The sequence below is a fragment of the Homo sapiens genome, chromosome 9, assembly GCF_000001405.40.
Source record: "Homo sapiens chromosome 9, GRCh38.p14 Primary Assembly".
NCBI lineage: Eukaryota > Metazoa > Chordata > Mammalia > Primates > Hominidae > Homo > Homo sapiens.
The window spans coordinates 39,026,174-39,050,212 of record NC_000009.12 but is presented as its reverse complement, the minus strand read 5'-3'; the positions used below and the strand labels follow the sequence as shown (position 1 = coordinate 39,050,212).

General features: G+C 39.9%; 1 pseudogene, besides 1 other annotated feature; it reads right to left on the bottom strand.

Annotated features, from left to right (window-relative positions):
• Positions 10,609-23,557, bottom strand: VN2R3P (vomeronasal 2 receptor 3, pseudogene; annotated as a pseudogene).
• Positions 16,105-16,305: a silencer, noted in NCBI's record as "peak7240 fragment used in MPRA reporter construct". NCBI's record gives its function as "represses an SCP1 promoter by STARR-seq MPRAs in K562 erythroleukemia cells {active_cell/tissue: K562}" and the evidence as "EXISTENCE:reporter gene assay evidence [ECO:0000049][PMID:32103011]".

The window sequence follows — 24,039 nt, the reverse complement described above, 5'->3', positions numbered from 1 at the left end:
GGACTGTGCAGAATAGGTGTGATGTGAGTGGGCCACCTTGTTTTCTTTCAGTTCTCAAGGGAAATGCCTCCACCTTTTGCTTGTTCAGTATGATGTTGGCTGTAGGTTTGTCATAGATAGCTCTTAAATTTTGAGGTATGTTCCTTCAATATCTAGTTTGTTGAGGGTTTTTAACATGACGGAATGTTGAATTTTATCAAAAGCCTTTTCTGTGTCTGTTGAGATGATCATACGGTTTCTGTTTTCAGTTCTGTTTATGTGATGAATCACATTTATTGATTTGCATATGTTGAACCAGCGTTGTACCCAAGAAATAAAGGCTGCTTGATTGTGGTAGATTAGCTTTTTGATGTGCTGCTGGACTTGATTTGCTAGAATTTTGTTGAGGATTTTTGCATCTGTAGTTCAACATGGATATTGGCCTGAAGTTTTCTTTTTTTGTTGTGTCTCTGCCAGGTTTCAGTGTCAGAATGATGCTGGCCTAATAAATGAGTTAGAGAGAAGTTCTTCCTTCTCAATTTTTGGGAATAATTTCAGCAGGAATGGTACCAGTCTTCTTTGTACATCTGCCTGAATTTGGCTGTGAATTTGTCCGATCCAGGGATTTTTCTGGTTGGCAGACTTTTTATTACTGATTCAATTTTGGACCTTGTTATTGGTCTTTCAGGGTTCAATTTCATCCTGGCTCAATCTTGGGAGGCTGCATGATTTCAGGAATTTATCCATTTCTTTTAGGTTTTCTAGTTTATGTGCATACAGGTGTTTGCAATTGTCTCTGAGAGTTGTTTGTATTTCTGTGGAGTCAGTGGTAATGCCCTCTTTGTCATTTCTGACTGTGTTTATTTGAATCTTTTCCCTTTTTTCTTTATTATTCTAGCTATGGGACTATCAATCTTATTTATTATTTCAAGTAACCAGCTGTTGGTTGCACTGATCTTTGTATGATTTTATTCACATCTGGATTTCATTCATTTCAGACCTGATTTTACTCATTTCTTTTCTTCTACTAGCTTTGGTATTGGTTTGCTCTTATTTTTCTAGTTCCACTAGGTGTGATGTTAGGTTTTAATCTGAGATCTTACTAACTTTTTAATGTGAGCATTCAGCACTATAAACTTTCCTCTTAACATTACTTTAGCTGGGGCCGGGCGCGGTGGCTCAAACCTGTAATCCCAGCACTTTGGGAGGCCGAGGCAGGCGGATCACAAGGTCAGGAGATTGAGACCATCCTGGCTAACATGGTGAATACAAAAATACAAAAAAATTAGCCGGGTGTGGTGGCGGGTGCCTGTGGTCCCAGCGATTCGGGAGGCTGAGGCAGGAGAATGGCATGAACCCAGGAGGTGGAGCTTGCAGTGAGCAGAGATGGTGCCACTGCACTCCAGCGAGACTCCGTCTCAAAAAAAAAAAAATTACTTTAGCTGACTCACAGAGATTCTGGAATATTGTATCTTTGTTTTCGTTAGTTTCAAGGAGTTTCTTGACTTCTGTCTTCGTTTCATTGTTTACCCAAAAGTCATTCAGGAGCAGATTGTTTAATTTTCATGTAATTTTATGGTTTTAAGATATTGTCTTCATATTGATTTTTACTTTTATTGCACTGTGGTCCAAGAGTGTGGTTGGTATGATTTTGGTTTTTTTTTAATTTGTTGAGAATTGTTTTATGGTTAATCATGCGGGCAGTTTTTTAGTAAGGGCCATGTGCAGATGAAAAAATATATATAGTCTGCTGTTGAGTGGAGCATTCTGGAAATGTCTGTTAGGTCCATTTGGTCAAGTGTTGAGTTCAGGTCATGAATATCTTTGTTTTCTGCCTTGATGATCTGTTTAATACTGTCAATGGGGTGTTGAAGTCTCCCACTATTATTGTGTGGTTATCTAAGTTTTTTCGTAGGTCTCTAAGAATTTGTTTTATCAATCTGAGTGCTCAGTATTGGGTGCATTTATATTTAGGATTGTTAAGTCTTCTTGTTGAATTGAACTCTTTATCATTATGTGATGCCTTTCTTTGTCTTCTTTTTGGTTGTTATTGGTATAAACTCTGTTTTATCTGAAATTAGAATAGCAACCTTGTTTGTTTTTGTTTTATATTTGCTTGATAGATTTTTCTTTATTCTTTTACTTTGAGCCTATGGGTGTCATTGCATGTGAGATGGGTCTCTTGAAAACTGCATGTCATTGGGTCTTGCTTTATTCAATTGCCACTCTGTGCCTTTTAAGTATGGCCTTTAGCCCTTTTACATTTAAGGTTAATATTGATATGTGCAGATTTGATCCTGTCATGTTGGTAGTTGGTTGTTATGCAGACTGGATTACATAGTTGCTTTATGTCGGTGGTCTATGTACTTCAGTGTGTGTTTGTGGTTGCTGGTAACAGTCTTCTGTTCCCATGTTTAGCACACCCTTAAGGATCTCTTGTAAGGTGAGTCTGATGGTGGTGAATTCCCTTAGCATTTGTTTGTCTGAAAAGGATCTTATTCCTCCTTTGATTATAAAGCTTACTTTGGCTGGATATGAAATTCTTGATTAGAATTTCTTTTCTTTAAGAATGCTGAACATAGGCCCCCTATCTCTTCTGGCTTGTATAGTTCCTGCTGAAAGGTCTGCTGTTAGCCTGATGGGGTTCCTTTTTAAGTGACCTACCCCTTCTCTCTAGTTGTCTTTATTATTTTTTCTTTCAGGTTGACCTTGGAGAATCTAATAAATATGTGTCTTGGGAATGGACATCTTGTGTAGTATCTCAAGGGATTCTTTGCATTTCCTGAATTTGAATGTCGAGCTCTTTAGCAAAGTTGGGGAAATTTTCATGGACAGTTATCATCAAATATGTTTTCCAACTTGCTTGCTCTCTCTTCCTCTCTTTCAGGCCAATGAGCCATAGAATTGGTCTCTTTACATAATCCCATATTTCTCTGAAGTTGTGTTTATGCTTTTTTATTCATTTTTGTCTGATTGAGTTGATTCAAAGATCTGGTCTTCAAGTTCTGAGATTCTTTCCTCAGCTTGGTCTATTCTGCTGTTAACAATTCTGATTGTATTATGAAATTCTTGTAGTGAGTTTTTCAGCTCTGTCAGATGGGTTTCATTCTCAGAACGGTGATTTTGTCGTTCACTTCTTGCATCATTTAAATAAATTCCTTAGATTCCTTTGATTGTGTTTCAACTTACTCCTGAAACTTGGTAATCTTTGTTCCTGTCCCAATGCTGAATTCCATGACTGTCATTTCAGCCTGATTAAGAACCACTGCTGGGTCATTTGGAGGTAAGAAGACATTCTGCTTTTTGAGCTGTCAGAGTTCCTGTACTGGTTCTTTCTCTTCTGTGTGGGCTGATGTTCCTTTAATGTTTGAAGTTGCCGTCCTTTGGATGGGGATTTTCACTTGTATATTCTTTGATTCCCTTGGGGGTTGACTATGGTATAAAGTGAGTTAAGTGAACTGGTTTCATCTCTGGAAATTTTCAGGGGGCCATACCTGGGCTGTGTACTCTTACCCTGGAAGGTGGTACTAGGCTTCCAGCTTTGTTCTCTGGCCCCTCCAGGTTAAGCACCTGTTGCAGGAGGTGCTTGGAGGAGCCAAGGTGTTCCCAGTCCACTGGCAACAAGACTCTGATGGGGAGTGCCAGCCAAAACACTTCACCAGGGTAGTGACAGTAGGGTCCACATTGGCTGGCATTTCTAATGAAAGTAAACCTTCTCCATTATTTGTGCATAGAGATAACATTTTGCTTTATGGTTTAAAAATTGATCACAAGCTCATTACCTACATTAACATTTCTCTTGACCTTGTGACTACGGTTTATTCACTTTGTTTAGTTATAGTGGTAGCCCAGCTGATAAAGTCTTAGCAGACTTCCCTCAGCTCACTCTGCATAGGGTCTTTGACAAGAGTGTCATTAGTATAGAACAACACGTGGCACTTCTAGGAAAACAACATCATTGCTTATATAATCTTTTGTTGGCTACTTCCCCAGAAAACCTTTAAACTCTGCTACTAACTAAATCTAGCTACTGATTGAGGGAAGCAGTCTACCATGAGCCTTGCGTAGTTCTGAAGGTTCTTGCTGGGTATGTCAAGAATGCAAGTCTCCTTACTTCACACCCATTAGGATAATTAATATCAAATGAACAGAAAATAACGAATGCTGATGAAGAGGTAGAGAAACTAGGGCCTTTATGGTTACTGGTGGGAATGCAAAATGATAGAGTTGCTGTGGACCAGAGTATGGTGATTTCCCAAGGAATTAAACACAGAATTACCATATGACCCAGCAATTCCTCCAAAATTAATTTCAAGCAAGGACTCAAACAGATATTTGTACATCAACATCCATATTAGCATTATTCACAGTAGCCAAAAGTAGAAACAACCCAAATATCCATTGGCAGATAAAGAGATAAAATGTGGCATAGACATAGAGTAAAATATAATTCATCCTTAAAAAGAAAGGAAATTCTGCCACATGCTACAATATAGATAAATTTGAAAGACCTTACACTAAGTAAAATAAGGTAGACACAAATGGAGATATATTTTATGATTCTACTGATATGAGGTACCCAGAGTAATCAAATTCATAGAAACAGAAAGTAAAATGGTCATTGCCTGGGGCTGGGGGGAGTAAGGAATTGATAATTAGTGTTAATGGGTACAGAGTTTCAGTTCTGCAAGATGAAAAAAATTCTGGAGATGGATAGTGGTGATGATGGCACAACAATGTGAGTGTGCTTGCCACTGAATTGTACACTTAAAGTCATTAAAATGGTAACATTTCATGTTATGTTTATTTATCACAGTAGAAAATTTGAGATATGTAGATGTAGACAAATAAGAATAAATACCTGTGTCAAAAGGGAAAAAAATTTAAATGCAAGGCTCTGAATGCTCTTTTTCCATACCATTTCTCTAGGTTGTATTTCTAGCAGCAACCTTGAGAGGTGAAAAAATGTTTCCCTTTGGAACGTTAAGCAGACTTGTCTACTGCTTAATGTAAAAGCAGTACATCCCCCAAGCTCAGTGTTTCTTTGCTGCAATACAAATTTATTATAGCATGTTCACCATTGACTTGGGTTCCTCTGCTTTATCCTTGTGAGATTTGGGGGACAAAGTTGACTGATACAACATGACACTCACATTAGCAATGCCGTGAGTAATGAAATGTTTGTCTCTGATCCAGGACTGTTGTGTCTTCCCCCTATTCATGAAACAGTAACAGACTAACTTATTAGCTTATAAATGGGGTAAAATCTCAGACACTACATTTCCTTGTTAATATAGGTGACTGTTATTTGTGTCTACCAACTACTGAAACTTTAATCATGCACTTTTGGGACTAATGTTCCTCTACAGAACCTTGATGTAATATTAATGTGATCCAGGTATATATTTTACAGTATAGGCTATAATTTTTGGATATCTGTTATAGAATCTGCCTTTTTACCAATGCTTAGTTCTTCTCAAATGGTTAAACTGATAGGTCTAGTGTAAGCATACAACCTTGCTATAGCTTTAAGGCTTAGCTACCACAAGTAGAGTAGATATTCCTCTGAGACTTTTTATGAATCTAACAAGCTATGATAACAAAGGAGTTCTCTAATTTCGTTGGGTACTTCAATCAAACACTGAAAATGATTAATGACTTTGAGGGCAACACAATATTCAAAATGAATCTTGGTTATTAAAATTATAGGCTATAATTTAGTTGATATATTAAAAACCACAGAGAACTTTCTAGATGACTACTGTATAAAAGTAGAAGCCCTTATTGGTTTTTCCATCAACTGGTAAAACCAGTTGCTGAAACTGATTTTATTAATCCAAAATACTTATTCATATTTCAAGAAAATCTCAAAGAAAATTTCTTGGAAATAATTTATTTGTACTTAGCATAACCAAGGATCAGTTACCAAAGTGTAAAGTTTTAAAAGTCATTTACCAAAGAAGAAACTTTTCATTTTAATTAAAGCTTTCGTTTGAGCTAAAGTTCTACTCCTAGATAAAATGTTAATGTGATCTTGTCCCAAATTTCTCATAAACTCTCATTTTGTAAATGTTACAAGAAGGTACGTGACTCTTGGCTTGAATCCTGCTCTGACAGATTCCATATCATTGAATTTGTATCCTGTCAGTATTTACAAAATTAATATATGTGCAGTCATGTGCACAATTAATACAAAATGTATTTCCAAGAGGGATATGATTGGATGTATCCCTCCAAGATAATGAGTTTATTGGAAGAAACACACTTAGCATTAGAACTATGCTATAAAAAGCCATTTTGATTATTTTTTTAATCGCAAAGAATCTGTTTAAGCTCTATGAAAAACACTAGAGAAGACATGGTTCTAAGGATAAAAGTGTTTAGGGTCCTATAATCTGGACATCCAGACCCATGTTAAATCTGACCTAGAGGCCTATTAAAAAGCCTCCAGAAGCAGACAACTTCCAGTAGACATATTCCTTCAAGAGTCTACATATCAGGAAGATGACATTAAAAGTATATTCAGTCATATGAAGCTTTCACTCAAGATATTTCAGGTAAAACTTCATGATCAGAAAAACATGCCCTTATTTTGATTCTATTTTATCACTTGGATACCCCTCTTTGTCTCACTTTTTTCATTTTTTCTTAGTTCAAGGTATTAGGCTATGAAAATTGAAATCCCAGTCATTTTTCTCATTTTCTTGACTAATTTCATTCTGATAAACCCTGTGAACTCATTGCAACTTTCCAGAATATTACTAATGCTAAAGCATCTAGACGTTATGGCTAAAATGCAGGTCCTCAAAATTAGCTGCAGTTGCTGATATTTTCTAGAGCCTCATGAGAAAGATAATGGCATATGGAATTAATGATAAATTATGACCAATTATTTTCTCATAAAGCTACACAGAAATCATTGCATGCTTTTTCTAAACTCTGGGATTTTATTCTGAATACAAAAATTAATTAAATTCAGGTGACATTTGATAAATAATTGTGACTATGAAAAACATACTTGTGTCTCCACAAGATATACTCTTGGAATTATTATTCTTATGAAGAAATCATGATTTTCTATAATCATATTCAAACATAAACATTGTTTTGGACATCGTATTCTGGCCTTTCCATTTACTGAAACAAACCATTCAGTTGCTCATATTTTATTGAATCAATGTGGTAGTTTATAAAGAGGGACTCAAGACATCAGAATTTATCATATATATGTACATGTATACATATACGCTTCATTTTGTGTGTGGGTATATGTGTGCTTGTGTGTGTAGGTGTGAGTGTTTGTGTGTAGGTGTTGAGAGGTGACAGCGTGCTGGCAGTCCTCAGAGCCCTCGCTTGCTCTCGGCACCTCCCCTGCCTGGGCTCCCACTTTGGCGGCATTTGAGGAGCCCTTCAGCCCCCACTACACTGTGGGAGCCCCTTTCTGGGCTGGCCAAGGCCGGAGCCCACTCCTTCAGCTTGCAGGGAGGTGTGGAGGGAAAGGCGCAAGCGGGAACCCGGGCTGCATGTGGCGCTTGCGGGCCAGCTGGAGTTCCGGGTGGGCATGGGCTTGGCGGGCCCCGCACTGGGAGCAGCCGGGCAGCCCTGCTGGCCCCGGGCAATGAGGGACTTAGCACCCGGGCCAGCGGCTGCAGAGGGTGTACTGGGTCCCCCAGCAGTGCCGGCCCACCAGTGCTGCGCTCGATTTCTCGCCAGGCCTTAGCTGCCTTCCCACGGGGCAGGGCTGGGGACCTGCAACCCGCCATGCCTGAGCCTCCCACCCACTCCATGGGCTCCTGTGCAGCCCGAGCCTCCCCGACGAGCACCACCCCCTGCTCCACGGCGCCCGGTCCCATCGACCACCCTAGGGCTGAGGAGTGCGAGCGCACGGCGCGGGACTGGCAGGCAGCTCCACCTGCAGCCCCTGTGCGGGATCCACTAGGTGAAGCCAGCTGGGCTCCTGAGTCTGGTGGGGAGGTGGAGAGTCTTTATGTCTAGCTCAGGGATTGTAAATACACCAATCAGCACCCTGTGTTTAGCTCAAGGTTTGTGAATGCACCAATCGACACTGTGTATCTAGCTGCTCTGGTGGGGCCTTGGAGAACCTGTGTGTGGAAACTCTGTATCTAACTAATCTGATGGGGAGGTGGAGAACCTTTGTATCTAGCTCAGGGATTGTAAACGCACCAATCAGCGCCCTGTTAAAACAGGCCACTCGGCTCTACCAATCAGCAGCATGTGGGTGGGGCCAGATAAGAGAATAAAAGCAGGCTGCCCGAGCCAGCATTGGCAACCCGCTCGGGTCCCCTTCCAGACTGTGGAACCTGTGTTCTTTTGCCCTTTGCAATAAATCTTGCTACTGCTCATTCTTTGGGTGCACGCTGCTTTTATAAGCTGTAACACTCACCGTGAAGATTTGCAGCTTCACTCCTGAGCCCAGTGAGACCACCAGCCCACCGGGAGGAACGAACAACTCCAGACGTGCCACCTTAAGAGCTGTAACACTCACCACGAAGGTCTGCAGCTTCACTCCTGAGCCAGCGAGACCACGAACCCACCAGAAGGAAGAAACTCCGAACACATGTGAACGTCAGAAGGGACAGACTTCCAGATGCGCCACCTTAAAAGCTGTAACACTCACCGCGAGGGTCCGCGGCTTCATTCTTGAAGTCAGTGAGACCAAGAACCCACCAATTTCGGGCACAGTGTTAGTGTGTGTGTGTGACTGTGTGTGTGTATGTGTGTAGGTGGGTGTATGTGTGAGTATGTTTGTGTGTGTGTAGGTGTTTCTACCTTATCCAAGTTGTTTCCCAACTAACATGCATGATCCATAATTTATCCTTGACTATGGACTCCGCAGTAAACAAAGCACCTCAGGTTTTAGAAACTCAACAGAATAGCAGCAACGTGTTGACTAGGATAGTCCTAAGTAATAGATAATTGGCAATTTAATGTCCTTCCAAGAGAAAATCTTTACCATACCTGAAATATCTGGAACCTGAATAAACATTAGGTAAGTAAAATTGATTTATTCGATCTTAGGAGTTATTTTTCTGGCTAAGCTAAACCCAAGAAAAACAGATGCTAAGCGAGCTTCAAATATTTCTTAAAATACTTGGGATTATTCCCAAACTTTTTATCTTTTTTAACCTTCCCATTATCTTGATTCCTTTTTTTTTTTTTTTTTGAGATGGAGTCTTGCTCTGTCGCCCAGGCTGGAGTGCAGTGACGCCATCTTGGCTCACTGCAAGCTCCGCCTCCCGGGTTCACGCCATTCTCCTGCCTCAGCCTCCCTAGTAGCTGGGACTATAGGCGCCTGCCACCGCGCCCAGCTAATTTTTTTGTATTTTTAGTAGAGACGGGGTTTCACAGTGTTAGCCAGGATGGTCTGGATCTCCCGACCTCGTGATCCGCCTGCCTCTGCCTCCCAAAGTGCTGGGATTACAGGCGTGAGCCACCGTGCCCAGCCTATCTTGATTCTTATATCTTGCTTCACAGCCATAACCCTGACCTGACATTCAACTCATAATACAGTGTTGAAGAAAAAAATAAAACCTCTATAGGAAAAATCTGTTCATCTGGGAGCTGGATTTTAACCAAAGAAAACAGAGATATAAGATATATTTTAAAGGGATATGATGCAGTCTGATTTAATTGTGTGCAGAGTGGCAATAGAAGGAGAGTGGCACGTAATGCCTGGACACAGTTTGTCCCAGCAGAACTGTCGAGCCTTTTCAGATAATCTAGAAATAACTGAAAGTTTTCTCTGTTGACTATCCCAGAGACTGATCCCTTAGTGTCCCTCTTGTCAGTCAGTATACTCAGGATAAAGAAAACTAAACTAATTTTTCAGACTTTTTTTTTTTAAATGCCTCTGCCCTTTTGTTTTATAAATCCAATTTTTATCTCTGATAACAATCTATTGATTGTTCTCCCACATATATTAAAATTGCTTGTTGATAACTAAACTGACATGGAGTTATTTTTGACAACACAAAAATGTAGAGTACAATACAGTTGCATTTGAAATCAATAAGACAAGTGTAGTCTATTATTATTTAGGGGCAAATGTCTGGTTTGTTTGATAAAAGTAATATTAGACTCCTACCTCCCACAATTTAGATATACAAATTGCAGGTAAATTTTTATAATTTTACATATATTTGTCAGAAGAAAACAGAAAAATATAATAAAGTTCAAATACAAATTATAAATCTTTATGCCATCTGTCCCGCCAATTAGAAAAAAGTCATAAAATTAAATGAGATGTTGAGTGGAGGACTGCCTCAATACTTTCTGCTTAAGATGTGTGTCTAAGACAAAATGGTAGCTAAAGATAGAGATAAAAAGGGTTACTGTGCATATAATGAAGGACAACTTACAGCATTTAATAATAGATTTAACCTGCAGAAAACACACATCAAAGTTAATATTTATATTCACAAACTTGGTGATTGAAGGTATTGTGAATTTCACACTATTTGAATGTAATGGCAGAGTTAAGAGATTATAAACCAGTCTGAAATATTACTTAAATGTGACTGTGTCTCATCTGCATGCAAATAGCAGTTATTTTTTACATTCCTCTTTTTTATTTTTCTAAGGCCAGAAATTAAATATTTATACATGTAAGAACTTGCTTTTTTCCCTTAACTCTCCAAGAGTATTCTTATCTGGTTTTATTAGAATAATACGGCCTCTGGGAGCAAAGATACCGCCTAGCACTCAGCACTGGAAGTCAAGGTGGAGAATATTTCCAAGGCAACCATGACCTTCCCTTTGGTGCTATGTTACACAGTTTGGAAGGTAATTCAAACAGTACATAACATCAGCATGCTGAACATCAAGAACTTGGCTTCATTGAAGGTGTCAGGCAGGCTGCTGGCCAGGAAAGCCAAGATGAAGCTCCCCAGTGCCAAAAAGGTCAAGAATCCCAGAACAGAGTGGAAGGCAAAGAATACCTCATCATTGAGAGTCCTGATGGCACTCTTTGATCCCATGCCAAATTCCAGAGAGTTACTTGGATAAGGAAACAGATGAAAATAACTGTGCTAAATACTCCCAGTCCCCAAAACCACTTTGGCTTTCTCTCTGATGCTGTAGCCTTACAGGCTATAAGCACAGTGATAGTTTTAGCTAACGCAGTTGAAACAACCACAGTAAAAATGATTCCAAATGTTGTCTGTCAGAGGATACAAGTGACTGTGTTTGTACAGCCAGTGAAGAGCAAGGAGCAGAAGAAAACAGACAGAGAGATGTCGCTGAGAGTCTTGACTATGAGTGTGTGTATGTGCTTCACAAAGATCATAAGAACCATGGCTGTATTAGTCCATTTTCACACTGCTGATAAAGATATATCAGAGACTGGGTAATTTATAAAGGAAGAGAGCCTTAATGGACACACAGTTCCAGGTGGCTGGGGAGGCCTCACAATCACGGCTGAAGGTGAAAGGTACGTCTTACCATGGCGGCCTGCAAGGGAGCACGAGAGCCAAGCGAAAGGGGAAACCTTTTAATAAAATTATCAGATCTTGTGAGACTTAGAACAGTATGGGAGCAACTGCGCCCATGATTCAATTATCTCCCACCAGCTCCCTCTCACAACACGTGGGAATTATGGGAGCTATAATTCAAGATGAGATTAGGGTGGGGACACAGCGAAACCATACCAATGGCAGTGAGGACAGAGAAACAGAGAGCTATGCTGGCCAGTGCTGTCCCCAGTGCATCTTCAAAATCCAGGAAGGTCACAACTCTGTGAGGCAGTGATCTCTCTCACTGAATACTGGTTGTCTGGACATTTTGCACATTCATTGGAGTCTGATTTTAAAAAGTCAAAAGCTTATTGTCTCAAGTTCTGAAATGCTTCCTTTTTTCACAGGACTAAACAATGTTAACATTAGTCATCTTAAAGCACATTGTCCACCTATTCATATTTCATGAAATTATAAGATGCTACAAATTAACTCATTCCAGTTTAGCAGTATTTATCCCCCTTGTCATTTGTATGAAGAAAGATTTTTTTATCTTTTACATAGATGTGCATGCTACTCCTATTTTTTATCTGATGATGAGACCATTACAATCTTTAAGACATTCCAAATATCTATTTGGCAGGCTAAGCCTTAAATGTATTCATTTATACAAGAAATTTATTCGTTTACACAAGAAAGCTTTAACTGGCGAGCCAGACCCTTAGTTGAATTCTAGAAATACTGCAATGACCAAGGCATACTGCTTTTTTCAAAATTAAAAAAAACACACCCTCAAACTCCCATTAGATTGACCATGAGACATTAAGTTGCACTGGTCCAGAATCTGGGCATTACTCATGATTTTTTACTTCACAAAAAAACACAACTAATACATCAGTGAATCCTCTTGACTCTCCCATCAAAATACTTCCTAATTCTAATCACTTCTTGTCACTTCCACTTGGCCGTCCTGATCTAAGACAATGTAATCTCTACCTAGATTATTGTAATAAACCCCAGTGGCCTGCCTACTTCCAATTCCCTGAGTCAACTTCAGTCTATTTTGCAAAAAGCAGGCAGTTACTCTTTAACAATCAAATCATTTAACTGCCATGCTCAAAGCTTTCCAATGGCTCTTAATTACACTTTAAATCAAAATTTTTATCATGTTTCTAAATCTCAGACCTCACCTCCTACCACAATTTCTTTTTGCTGTATTTTCCAGCCATCCACATTAGCTGCCTTGATTTACTTTCAAGTTTACAAACTCCTGCCCCAAGGCCTTTGAACTTCTAGTTCTTTTGTCTTGAATATTCTTTCCTCAGAATGTAACAAGACTCATTTACCTACTAATAGTTTTGATATTTGTCTCCTTCAAATCTCATATTGAAATATGATCCCCAATGTTTAAGGCAGGGGCTAATGGGAGGTGTCTGGGTCATAAGGGTGGGTCCCCCCTGGATGGCTTGGTGCCTTCCCTCCAGTAAGGGGTGAGTTCTTGCTCCATTAGTTCATGAGAAAGCTGGCAATGTTCTACTGATTAGAACATTAAATGTATCACATGAATGATCACATGATTGATAAATGAGGGAAAGAATGGCACTTTGTAGGTCTAACCCAAATCCTAATCAATTTTTGTATTAATGGGGACGCTGAAGAACGGCTAGAAACAAATTGTTTGTTGACCTATCTTATTGGAAATCTTACCCTCTAGGTGCTGAGTTCAAACAACATACAGCTTTTCCTTCCTGTGGGGATTTTCTAAATTCTGACCCATAGCTGTGGCTGCACACAAAGTAGAGAGCCTGAAGAAAAGAAACTGGGGGTCGGTGTTCCTCATATATTTAGAATAGATGAATTATAAAATTCCAAAATTAATAATATTGTATTAATTTAAATATTATGATGTGTAATACCTTTTAGAACTATCTGAAACATGCATACTAGAAAATAAAAATTAAGTAGAAACAAAAGCAATGTTTTTGATAAAGGTAAAATAAAGTCGCTGGGGGCAGTGGCTCACACCTGTAATCCCAGCACTTTGGGAGGCCGAGGCAGGTGGATCATGAAGGTCAGGAGATCGAGACCATCCTGGCTAACATGGTGAAACCTCGTCTCTACTAAAAATACAAAAAATTAGCCGGGCGTGGTGGCAGGCGCCTGTAGTCCCAGCTACCCAGGAGGCTGAGGCAGGAGAATGGCATGAATCCGGGAGGCGGAGCTTGCAGTGAGCTGAGATGGGGCCACTGCACTCCAGCCTGGGCGACAGAGCGAGACTCCGTCTCAATAAGTAAATGAATAAATGAATAAATAGAGTCACATTTTTGCATTAAAGGCAAATATCCAAATAATCTAAATTATGTCCACACAAAATGGATAAGCAAGGTGATTGAAAGCCGTATATTGATTAATTGTCCAAAGGATGTATAATGATGCTATCTCTAGTATAATAACAATAACATTGATAACACATATCCGGGCACTCAAGACATTTTATTTTAAAAACTAGCCTAGGCTACTCCTACTGGTGATAATTAGATCAGATATGCAGAATACGAAACAATTAGAATTGGTAGATAAATACAACAAAAGCTTACAAACCTAGCCTAGCTCCAATAATCTATGAGAAGCCTCAAGGAAAAAAATAAAAAAGGAACAGAAACCCAGAACGGGAAAGCTGATCAGCAAGCAAAAGCTATCCTCACAATGTTTGCTAATTAAGATGATCACGGTCACTTGTGTTTTAATGACCAAAACCGAGGGGACAGGAGACAAGACCTTAGGCTTGAGACAATCCATAGAGCTACAACTATTGAAGGCCCACTTTCTTTTTCTTTTCTTTCTTTTTTCTGCGCTCTGTCACCCAGGCTGGAGTGCAGTGGCACAATCTTGGCTCACTGCAAGCTCCGCCTCCTGGGTTCACACCATTCTCCTGCCTCAGCCTCCTGAGTAGCTGGGACTACAGGTGCACACCACCATGCCCGGCTAATTTTTTGTATTTTTTTAGTAGAGACGGGGTTTCACCGTGTTAGCCATGATGGTCTTGATCTCCTGACCTCATGATCCACCTGCCTCCGCCTCCCAAAGTGCTGGGATTACAGGCATGAGCCACCGTGCCCAGCATGAAGGCCTACTTTCATAGGGAAATGATCTAGGAAAAAGAAAACAAAAAAATCTTCTTGCCAGTGAAAGGAGATAAGTTCTCAGCCTCAGTTTGGAGTCTGGGTGGCAAAAGAGAAAAATGTCTCTTCTGAGAAATTTTTATTCAAAAACTTGTCTTCATACTGGTTTGGGATTTAATTTTAAATGTATTTGTATAGTCAAGGAAAACTTTAAGTGCATAAATTAAATGTCTTCTGATTATTAACAACTCAGGTGCTTGGATGAAACACAGGCAATCCTGTAAGAGGGACTGACCCTCGAAATATTTATTACTCACCATGAAGTTATACAGACACTAAGACCAAATGAACATGTAAACCACACAATGAAGAGTCAACATAAACAACAAACAACAAAATGCAACCAGAAGGCATTTTAGACCTTATAATTTTCAGATATAGGATCAAAATATGTATAGGCTTAAACTCTTTAAGGAAACAAATAGGGTGTCAAATTGTGAGCAGGAATTGGGAGATGAACAAAATCAATCAGCAAGATTCTTAAAAAAATAAAAAATATAAATATAAACATTAGAATTATGGGATGAGCTAATATGCATGTTAATAGCCATAGCAATGCTATCAAACAAAGCCACTTCCTCCAAAAATGGGGTCTTTACTTGTTCGGTGCTGCAAAGGCAATACACAAAACTGAAGGTGAGCACCAAGCAGTGCAAGCTTTACTTGATGGCCGTGGACTTGAGAAGGAGAAGCATGGCTCACAAATCACTTCTCGACTAATGAGAGGTGAGGAGGTTAAAATAAAATACAGGGTTTCTCTAATGAAGGGATTGGACATTAAAAGCAAGGGGAAGAATATTCATGCATTTTCCAGGAATGAGCAGCAACTTCACAGAACTCCTAGTGCCACCTTCCTTTTTGAACTTTTATGACTTCTGGTCAGCGTCATGATGATTGTCAAGTGTCATGACACCAGTGGAAGTGTCTTTTTTTCTTTTCTTTCCTTTTTTTCTTGGCGATGGAGTCTCACTCTGTCACCAAGGTTGGAGTGCAGTGGCACGACCTGGGCTCACTGCAACCTCCGCTTCCCGGGTTCAAGCAATTCTCCTGCCTCAGCCTCCCAAATAGCTGGGACTACAGGCGCACGCTGCCACGCCTGGCTATATTTTTTGTATTTTTAGTAGAGATGTGGTTTCACTGTGTTACCCAGGCTGGTCTCGAACTCCTGAACTCAGGCAATCTGCCCGCCTCGGCCTTCCAAAGTGCTAGGATTTCTTTTCTATTTTAAGAGATGGGGCCTTGCTCTGTTGCCCAGGCTTTAGTGCAGTGGTGCAATCATGGCTCGCTGCAGCCTTGAACTCCCGGGCCTAAGTGATCCACCCCCTTTAGCCTTCTGAGTAGCTGAGACGATAGGTGTGTGACACCACACTTGGGTAATTTAAAATTTTTTTTTTTTTTTTTTTTTTTTTGTGGAGACCAGGTCTTATTCTGTTGACCAGGCTGGTCTCAAATTCTTGTGCTCAAGCAATCCTCCTACATTGGCCTCCCAAAGGGCTCGGATTACAGGGATGTACAACCATGCCTGGCCAGGAGTGCCATTTAGCATGGAAATGAGATTATAATGAAGCCTGAGGCTTTAGCTATCCTGGTTCTAACAAGTGTCAGTGGGTCTGGTTACAAAGGGAACTTCCTAGAGCAAGTGTCATGTTTTTTAAAGATAAGCAGAGTTAGGGCAGTGTGGAAATTCAGCTATGTCATGGCAGCATGCTACCACTTAACAGTAATATCTGAAAAATTAGTAACATGGAAATTTTTTGTACATTTTAGACAGATCATATAAAAATACAAAGAAATAATATATGTGATAAATATCAAGTTACATATAAAGTAGAATAAAAATGGCTAAACTATACTGGTTACTTTTTATTTCATGAATTGAACTCAACAGGATATAAGGATTGAGCATCTGCCTTTATATGCATATAGTCCAATTCAAACACAAACTGTGCAGTGGAATAACAAGGAGAAATTGACAAATTTGACAAATCTATCCATGATGGTAGATATCAATGTATCTCCCTCATGAATAAAGAGTTTAATTAGACATAATGTAAAGAAGAATACAAGTAATTTAAGGAACATAATGAATAAGACTGATATAATAAACATGCACAGAACTCTGAACCTCCAAGTCAGTGACTACTCATTTTTCACAAGTACACATGGACAGTTCATTAAAATTGAGCATTCACTGGCTAAAGAGCAAGACTCTTGTCTACAATACAATTAAATTAGTAATCAATCAACAAAATCAAAATCCTAATTTTTTTACATTTTAAATATACGTATAAATAATGGATCAAGAAGAAATAAAAAATTTAAACACAAAACCTATAACTTAGAACTTATACATCAGCTGAAGGAGAAATACAAAGTTAAAATAAACAATATGTATTAGTCCATTTTCACACCGCTATAAAGAACTAGTTGAGGCCGGGCGTGGTGGCTCACGCCTGTAATCCCAGCACTTTGGGAGGCCGAGGCGGGCAGATCACAAGGTCAGGATCCTGATCGAGACCATCATGGCTAACACGGTGAAACCTCGTCTCTACTAAAAATACAAAAAATTGGCCGGGCGTGGTGTCGGGCACCTGTAGTCCCAGCTACTCGGGAGGCTGAGGCAGGAGAATGGCGTGAACCCGGGAGGCGGAGTTTGCAGTGAGCCGAGATCACGCCACTGCACTCCAGCCTGGGTGACAGAGCAAGACTCCGTCTCAAAAGAAAAAAAAAAAACTACTTGAGAGTGGATAACTTACAAAAAAAAAAAAAGAGATTTAATTAACTCACACTTCCACAGGCTTAACAGGAAGCATGACAGGGAGGCCTCAGGAAACCTACAATCATGGCAGAAGGTGAAGGGGAAGCAAGGATCTTCTTCACGTGGTGGCAGGAGAGAGAGAGAGAACAGGGAAGTGCCACACACGTTTAAACCATGAGATCTCATGAGAACTCACCCACTCTCACAGAACAGCAAGGGGGAAATCCACCCCCATGATCCAATTACCTCCCACCAGACCCCTCCTCCAATTCCACCTGAGATTTGGGCAGGGACACAAATCCAACCCATATCACAATAATAATTTAAAATAGAGTTAGTTGTTAAAAATAGAGCCACAAGATACACATCAGAGCCATGTGATCTTATACCCAAATAACAGTGTTCAAGAAATAGTAAATTTTCATCTTTTAATAAATTAGAAAAAGACTCCTCGATTTGAGAAGCTAGCATACCATTGATAACAAAACAAATCGTAGAATGGTAAAGTAAAATTAGAGAACATTTCCAGTTAGGAATATGGATATAAATACCCTGTGTACCACAAAATATTAAAGAAAGCATCCTGGTGGAGAAGGAAGGAGGGATGGATAGGTGGAGCATAAGGGACTTTGAAGGCAGCCATAATATTTTGTCTGATACTGCAATAGTGGATACATGACATTATAAATTTGTCAACACCCATAAAATTCTATAACACAGACTGAACCCTAAAGTATGGATTTCAGTTAATAATAGTGTATCAATGTTGGTTCATCAATTGTAACACATGCATCACCCTAACGCAAAGTGTTATAGAAAATACAAATTATAGAGAAACGGGGAGGAAGGGAGGTATATATACTCTTTGTACTTTCTCTTCAAATTTTTTAAAACGTGAAACTACTCTAAAAAATAATGTCTATCAAAAAATTATGATCAATTTCAGTTTATCCTAGGAAAGCAAGGATAAGTTAATAAGTATACATATATACATATATATAAATTTAATAATCTATACTAACAAATCATTACAGAAAATCATACGCATTTTAGTAGACACCAAACTAACTTGTAATTCATAAAAGAATGTCTGAGTAACCTGTGGCCGGGAGTGGTGGCTCACGCCTGTAATCCCAGCACTTTGGGAGGCTGAGGTGGGCGGATCACGAGGTCAGGAGATCGAGACCATCCTGGCTAACACGGTGAAACCCCGTCTCTACTAAAAATACAAAAAAAATTAGCAGGGCATGGTGGTGGGCACCTGTAACCCCAGCTACTCGGGAGGGTGAGGCAGGAGAATGGCATGAACCTGGGAGGCAGAGCTTGCAGTGAGCTGAGATGGCATCACTGGACTCCAGCCTGGGCGACAGAGCGAGACTCCGTTCCGTCTCAAAAAAAAAAAAGAATGTCTGAGTAACCTAACAGTACAAGTAAAGTTATTACCAGAAATATACAGAAAGCATCAAGGTGAAATATAAGAATTATTCCATTTGAAAGGGGTATGATATGCACAAAGATGAAAATTGAGCTCCTATAAAATAACATAAGGATTTGAAATAAAGACACAAAACTTACTGTTTAGAGTTAGTATCATTGACTATAAAAACCAAGACAATCTTAATTATAACAATGAGGAAGATAACAGAAATTCAGAATATCAAAAATATTTTTATGTAGAAATAAAAACAAAACATTTAATTTTAGAAATATATTATTTAATGCATTTTTGTTACATGTGTAGTGATAAAATAATAAAATAAATTTAGAAAGAAATATATTATTTAATAAGATATAAAAATCTGAGGACCAATACAGTATTGTGGTTAAAACCATGGATTTTGACAGGAACTCCTTTGGTTAAAATTGTGACTCATCACTAAGAGTATAATGGTGAATAAGTTACTTAACGTTCCTTTGCACCCCTTTTCTTATCTAAAACAAATATGAAAGGGATCTGACTCATAGCAGTGTTCTGAGTAATATAACAGACATACATAAAACCACTAAAACAATGCTTGGCACATAGTTAATGATTATTCACTACCATTATTACCATCGTTGTCATTTTATTATGCAATTTAATGTTTGTTCTTCGGTAAGCAATGAATAAGAAATATTAAAAGGTAGAAGCGTGTATAGGTGGGATACGTATCAACATACATATGTATAGGCGTGTGTACATATCAACTACGTAGAGGGTTCAAATCAGGTGAAATTACCTGCATGAATCAACTCTATTCTGGTATCCATATTCAGTAAAAAGCTATCTTTGAAATTGTGACTAACCTCTGAAAACAACAATGGCCCATTTGATCCTTTCCTCGTGTATAGTAAAATCTTGACCACGTGGAAAACACATTCTCCTAGCTTCCCTTGATGTTGGAGACCATCAAGCAAATTACAATAATTCAGAATATCATACTATGCAACAGAGTTCCTATTCTAATCTGGGTACCTGATCATCAGCACTGGTCATAAATTCCGTGGTCCTTAAGAGAGTAAAGCTAAAAGGGATGCATCAGGGAGTAATAAAAACAAATGCATTATGCTATGAAACGTTAACTGAAGCATTGTTCCTCCCTGATCCTTGAAGACTGAAAGCTCAAATTCAACTTTATACTTTGATGAAAATAAAGACAATTGTGGTTTCGATTTCTTTTTTTTTTTTTTTTGAGATGGAGTCTCATTCTGTTGCCCAGGCTGGAGTGTAGTGGCGCGATCTTGGCTTACTGCAACCTCTGCCTCCTGGGTTCAAGCGATTCTCCTGTCTCAGCCTCCCATGTAGCTGGGACTATAGGCACCCGCCACCGCACCCAGCTAATTTTTGTATTTTTAGTAGAGACAGGGTTTCACCATATTGGTCAGGCTGGTCTCAAACTCCTGACCTCAGGTGATCAGCCCCCCTCAGCCTCCCAAAGTGTTGGGATTACAGGAGTGAGCCACTGCACCTGGCCGCTTTCAAATTTTTGATGATCCATTTACAGGCAGTGTGTAAGAATTTTACCGAATGTCTCTGAATATGAGTTTTTCTCATACATAAAATAGAAATAGCAATTCATATCTCTTAATGTTATTTTGAATTAAAAGAAAAAATATAATCACCATTTATGCTGAACACAAAGTAAGGGCTCAAAACTAATTTCTTTTCCCCAGTCATTTCTAGACAGTTAATATCATAGATCAAAAAATTTAAATCAGATTGAAAATGAGTATTGGAAATATGGGACAAACATTTAATCTTAGAACAAATATGACAAAGTTTCTTCTAGCCAGAGATATCTATGTGATGATCATTTACACACACACATACACACACACACACACACACACACACAGATATCAAAACTGAAAACTCTCCGGACTATATATGGTTTCTCATTGTAAAAGCAAGTAGACATATTCATTTTCAGAATTTATATTCAGAATGTAAAATTTCAATGTGTTTTGCCTGCGTTATTATGCAGGTTTTGAGAAAATCTCATTTATGACTATATGTTTCAAGAATCGATGGGCTCCAGGGCCGACAATGCCCTAGCGGAAATCATTACCTGCCAGGGATGAAACAGCACTGCATCTACATTTTCCTCATATCCCACTGTATTTCTAAAAGCAGCACTTAGCATAGGGCATTGGCTGCACACGCAGCATCATAGATGGTCTTAATGAAATCAGATGCAATCCAGTCAAAGCAACGCAAAGGCACAGGACCCAAGAAAGCATTTCGTGGGCATCCTCCCAGGGTTTCACAGCCAGAATCAGAAAGGAAGCAATCCAAGGAAAAAAGCCACAGTTTATTATGGAAAATGTGTTCTGGGTGTACGGAAGGGCTAACTGTCTGAACAAAATGCTGGAAGCCAGGCATCTCACTGTTCTGCTTTGAAAAAGTGAGAGTCCCATGGAATGGATTAAGTATGAAACTTCCCCCATGTGTGATAAAGTCCCACTGGGAGGTGGTAACACACGCTTTCCACGTTTTCAAAGTGTTCCATCCCAGAACGTCAGGAGGATTAGGGGGTCTGTGTCACCACAGACAGCAGTCACATTTGTTGATGGATCTTCAGTCTTGGCCAATGTTATCCTGCCTGCTGATGGCAGAACACCCTCCAAGACAGTTTCTTTGTAAAGCCTGAATAGATGCTTTCCCTGGCCACTTCTCTCAGTTCCTAGAAAAAATGCCCACCTTTTTTTTTTTTTTTTTTTTGAGACGGAGTCTAGCTGTGTCGCCCAGGCTGGAGTGCAGTGGTGCAATCTCGGCTCACAGCAACCTCTGCCTCCCAGGTTAAAGCGATTCTCCCACCTCAGCCTCCTGAGTAGCTGGGATTACAGGCATGCACCACCATACCCAGCTAATTTTTCTATTTTTAGTAGAGACGGGGTTTCTCCATGTTGGTCAGGCTGGTCTCGAACTCCCGACTTCAGGTGATCCACCCGCCTTGGCCCTCCAAAGAGCTGGGATTACAGGCGTGAGCCACCGTGCCTGGCCAAAAATGCCCACCTTTTATGTCATCTGAGACAAGCAGCCCTACCAGGTCTAGCTAAAATGCTGCAACAGCTTCACCATGCCAAGAGGCAAAGATGATTCCTTGGGACCATCTGATACAGAGATGGAAACTGTCCTTCATCACTAGGCAAAGGATCAAATGGACATACATAACTAATCTTAGAGGAAAAGGAAAAACAATATCCATTTGTATTCAGAAGTGATTTGAGGGAGAAGGGCACAAACACAATACATCAGGCACTTCACTTTCTACTCCTAGAAGAAATTCAAAGCTAGCAAGTAAATTACTAGAGAAATTGATGAACGTGTGTAAAGGCAAAATGCTCAGAGTTTTTCTTAACAAGAGTTAAAACTGTACTCAACTCATTCATGAGAAAACCATTTTGAAGACAAAAGTCCTGATTTGTAGAACATTTGAAGAGCAAGGTTTCATATAGCCATTGGCAAACAGGTAAGCTACAATAAAATTTCTAAGAAACATACAAAACTGGTTAATATTATCTAGGGTAATAAAATTGTAAACAAAGTTTCTTCTCTGCCAGCATCCCTTCCCCTCCCCAAAATCTCAGTTTACCAAATCTCCCTATAAGCTAATCTGTGGGTTTACAGGGCTATAAAAATTCCAATTTTGACTATTAGTCAAGGAAACGATTCTGGAGAGAGTCAGAGGATGGTCAAAAATTCTTCGCAAAGCCGGGTGCAGTGGCTCACGCCTGTGATCCCAGCACTTCGGGAGGCTGAGGTGGGCGGACCACCCGAGGTTGGGAGTTCGAGACCAGCCTGACCAACATGAAGAAACCCCGTCTCTACTAAAAATACAAAAATTAGCCAGGCGTGGTGGCGCATGCCTGTAATCGCAGATACTCGGGAGGCTAGGGAAGGAGAATCACTTGAACCCGGGAGGCGGAGGTTGCTGTGAGCTGAGATCGCGCCATCGCACTCCAGCCTGGGCAACAAGAGGGAAACTCTGTCTCAAAAAAAAAAAAAAATTCTTCGGAGATATAGCAGTTAGATAATAACAGCATGATAGTAAAGAATAAAGCAATTATTATTTCACCATTTTGAAGTTGAAGATACTACATTTTCTTTTGGAAAGGGGAAGATTTACTTGTTCATTTTTTTAAATGTATCATCTTCCCTCTGGGAAAAATTAATCTGGAAAGTAAGTGTTCAGATATAGAGTTCCCAGAGCTGGCCTGGCTGTGCCAGCCAGGGATGCCTCACTGCTGCCCATCTCATTCTGTCTCCTTCTTACCCTAAATAAACACTGGCAGTGCAAGGACTTTCTGTCACCTTTGGGGGCTTCAAAGACTGTTCTGAGCCACCTTTTGTTGACATGCCTTGTAATAACAGCAAAGGACATTCAATGTCATCTCTGACCCACCCCATCCTGTCTCACCTGTGGTAGTTTGTAGATTTCCATCAACATCTCCAACTGAGAAACAAATGCTGATATAGTTCCTTCAATCGCTGCTATGGATTTGCTCTGCCTCTCACATGTATAATTGGGAAGGTTCTCGGCCCCTCCTGACAGCCAAAACAGAGGGCCCTCCAAAGTCCTCTGATCAGTGTTGCAGGCATTGTAGACGTGATACCCCAAAGACATGTTGAGTAAGAGCAGCGGGCCCCTGTTGATCTCCTCGATGGCAAAAACGAACACGAAAAGAGTCAAAATGCATGTTTAGAGGACAAACTCTCACACCTCCCACTCAAGGCCTCACAAAAGCCATCTCTACCCTGACCTGAGCATGTGAAAATGAGGTACACAAGACTCAGAGAGCCGTGAATTAGCTGAGTACCAGAGGATAAATCAGTATGCAAAGAGTACAATTTAAGACACTGCAATTTAATGGTGAGTTGGGTTTCCAAAGGAGTCAGTATGGCAGGACTTCAAGGGCGTTTATTCACTTTGTTTACCAAGAAACTAACCAGTGGCTGAAATTGAAACTAAAGTAGACAGTGGGCGTGGGATAAGAAAGGATATTGAGGATAAAAGATCAGGGTCCATATAAGAGGCCAGGCTGGACAAGGAATCAGAGAGGGCAGGTAAGAAAGGAGAATGTATTTTGGAGGAAATGGCCTCACACATTGGCTGGGTTGCGGATGCTTAAACATCATTTGGTTGTGCCTCTTGGGTCAGAAAAAATA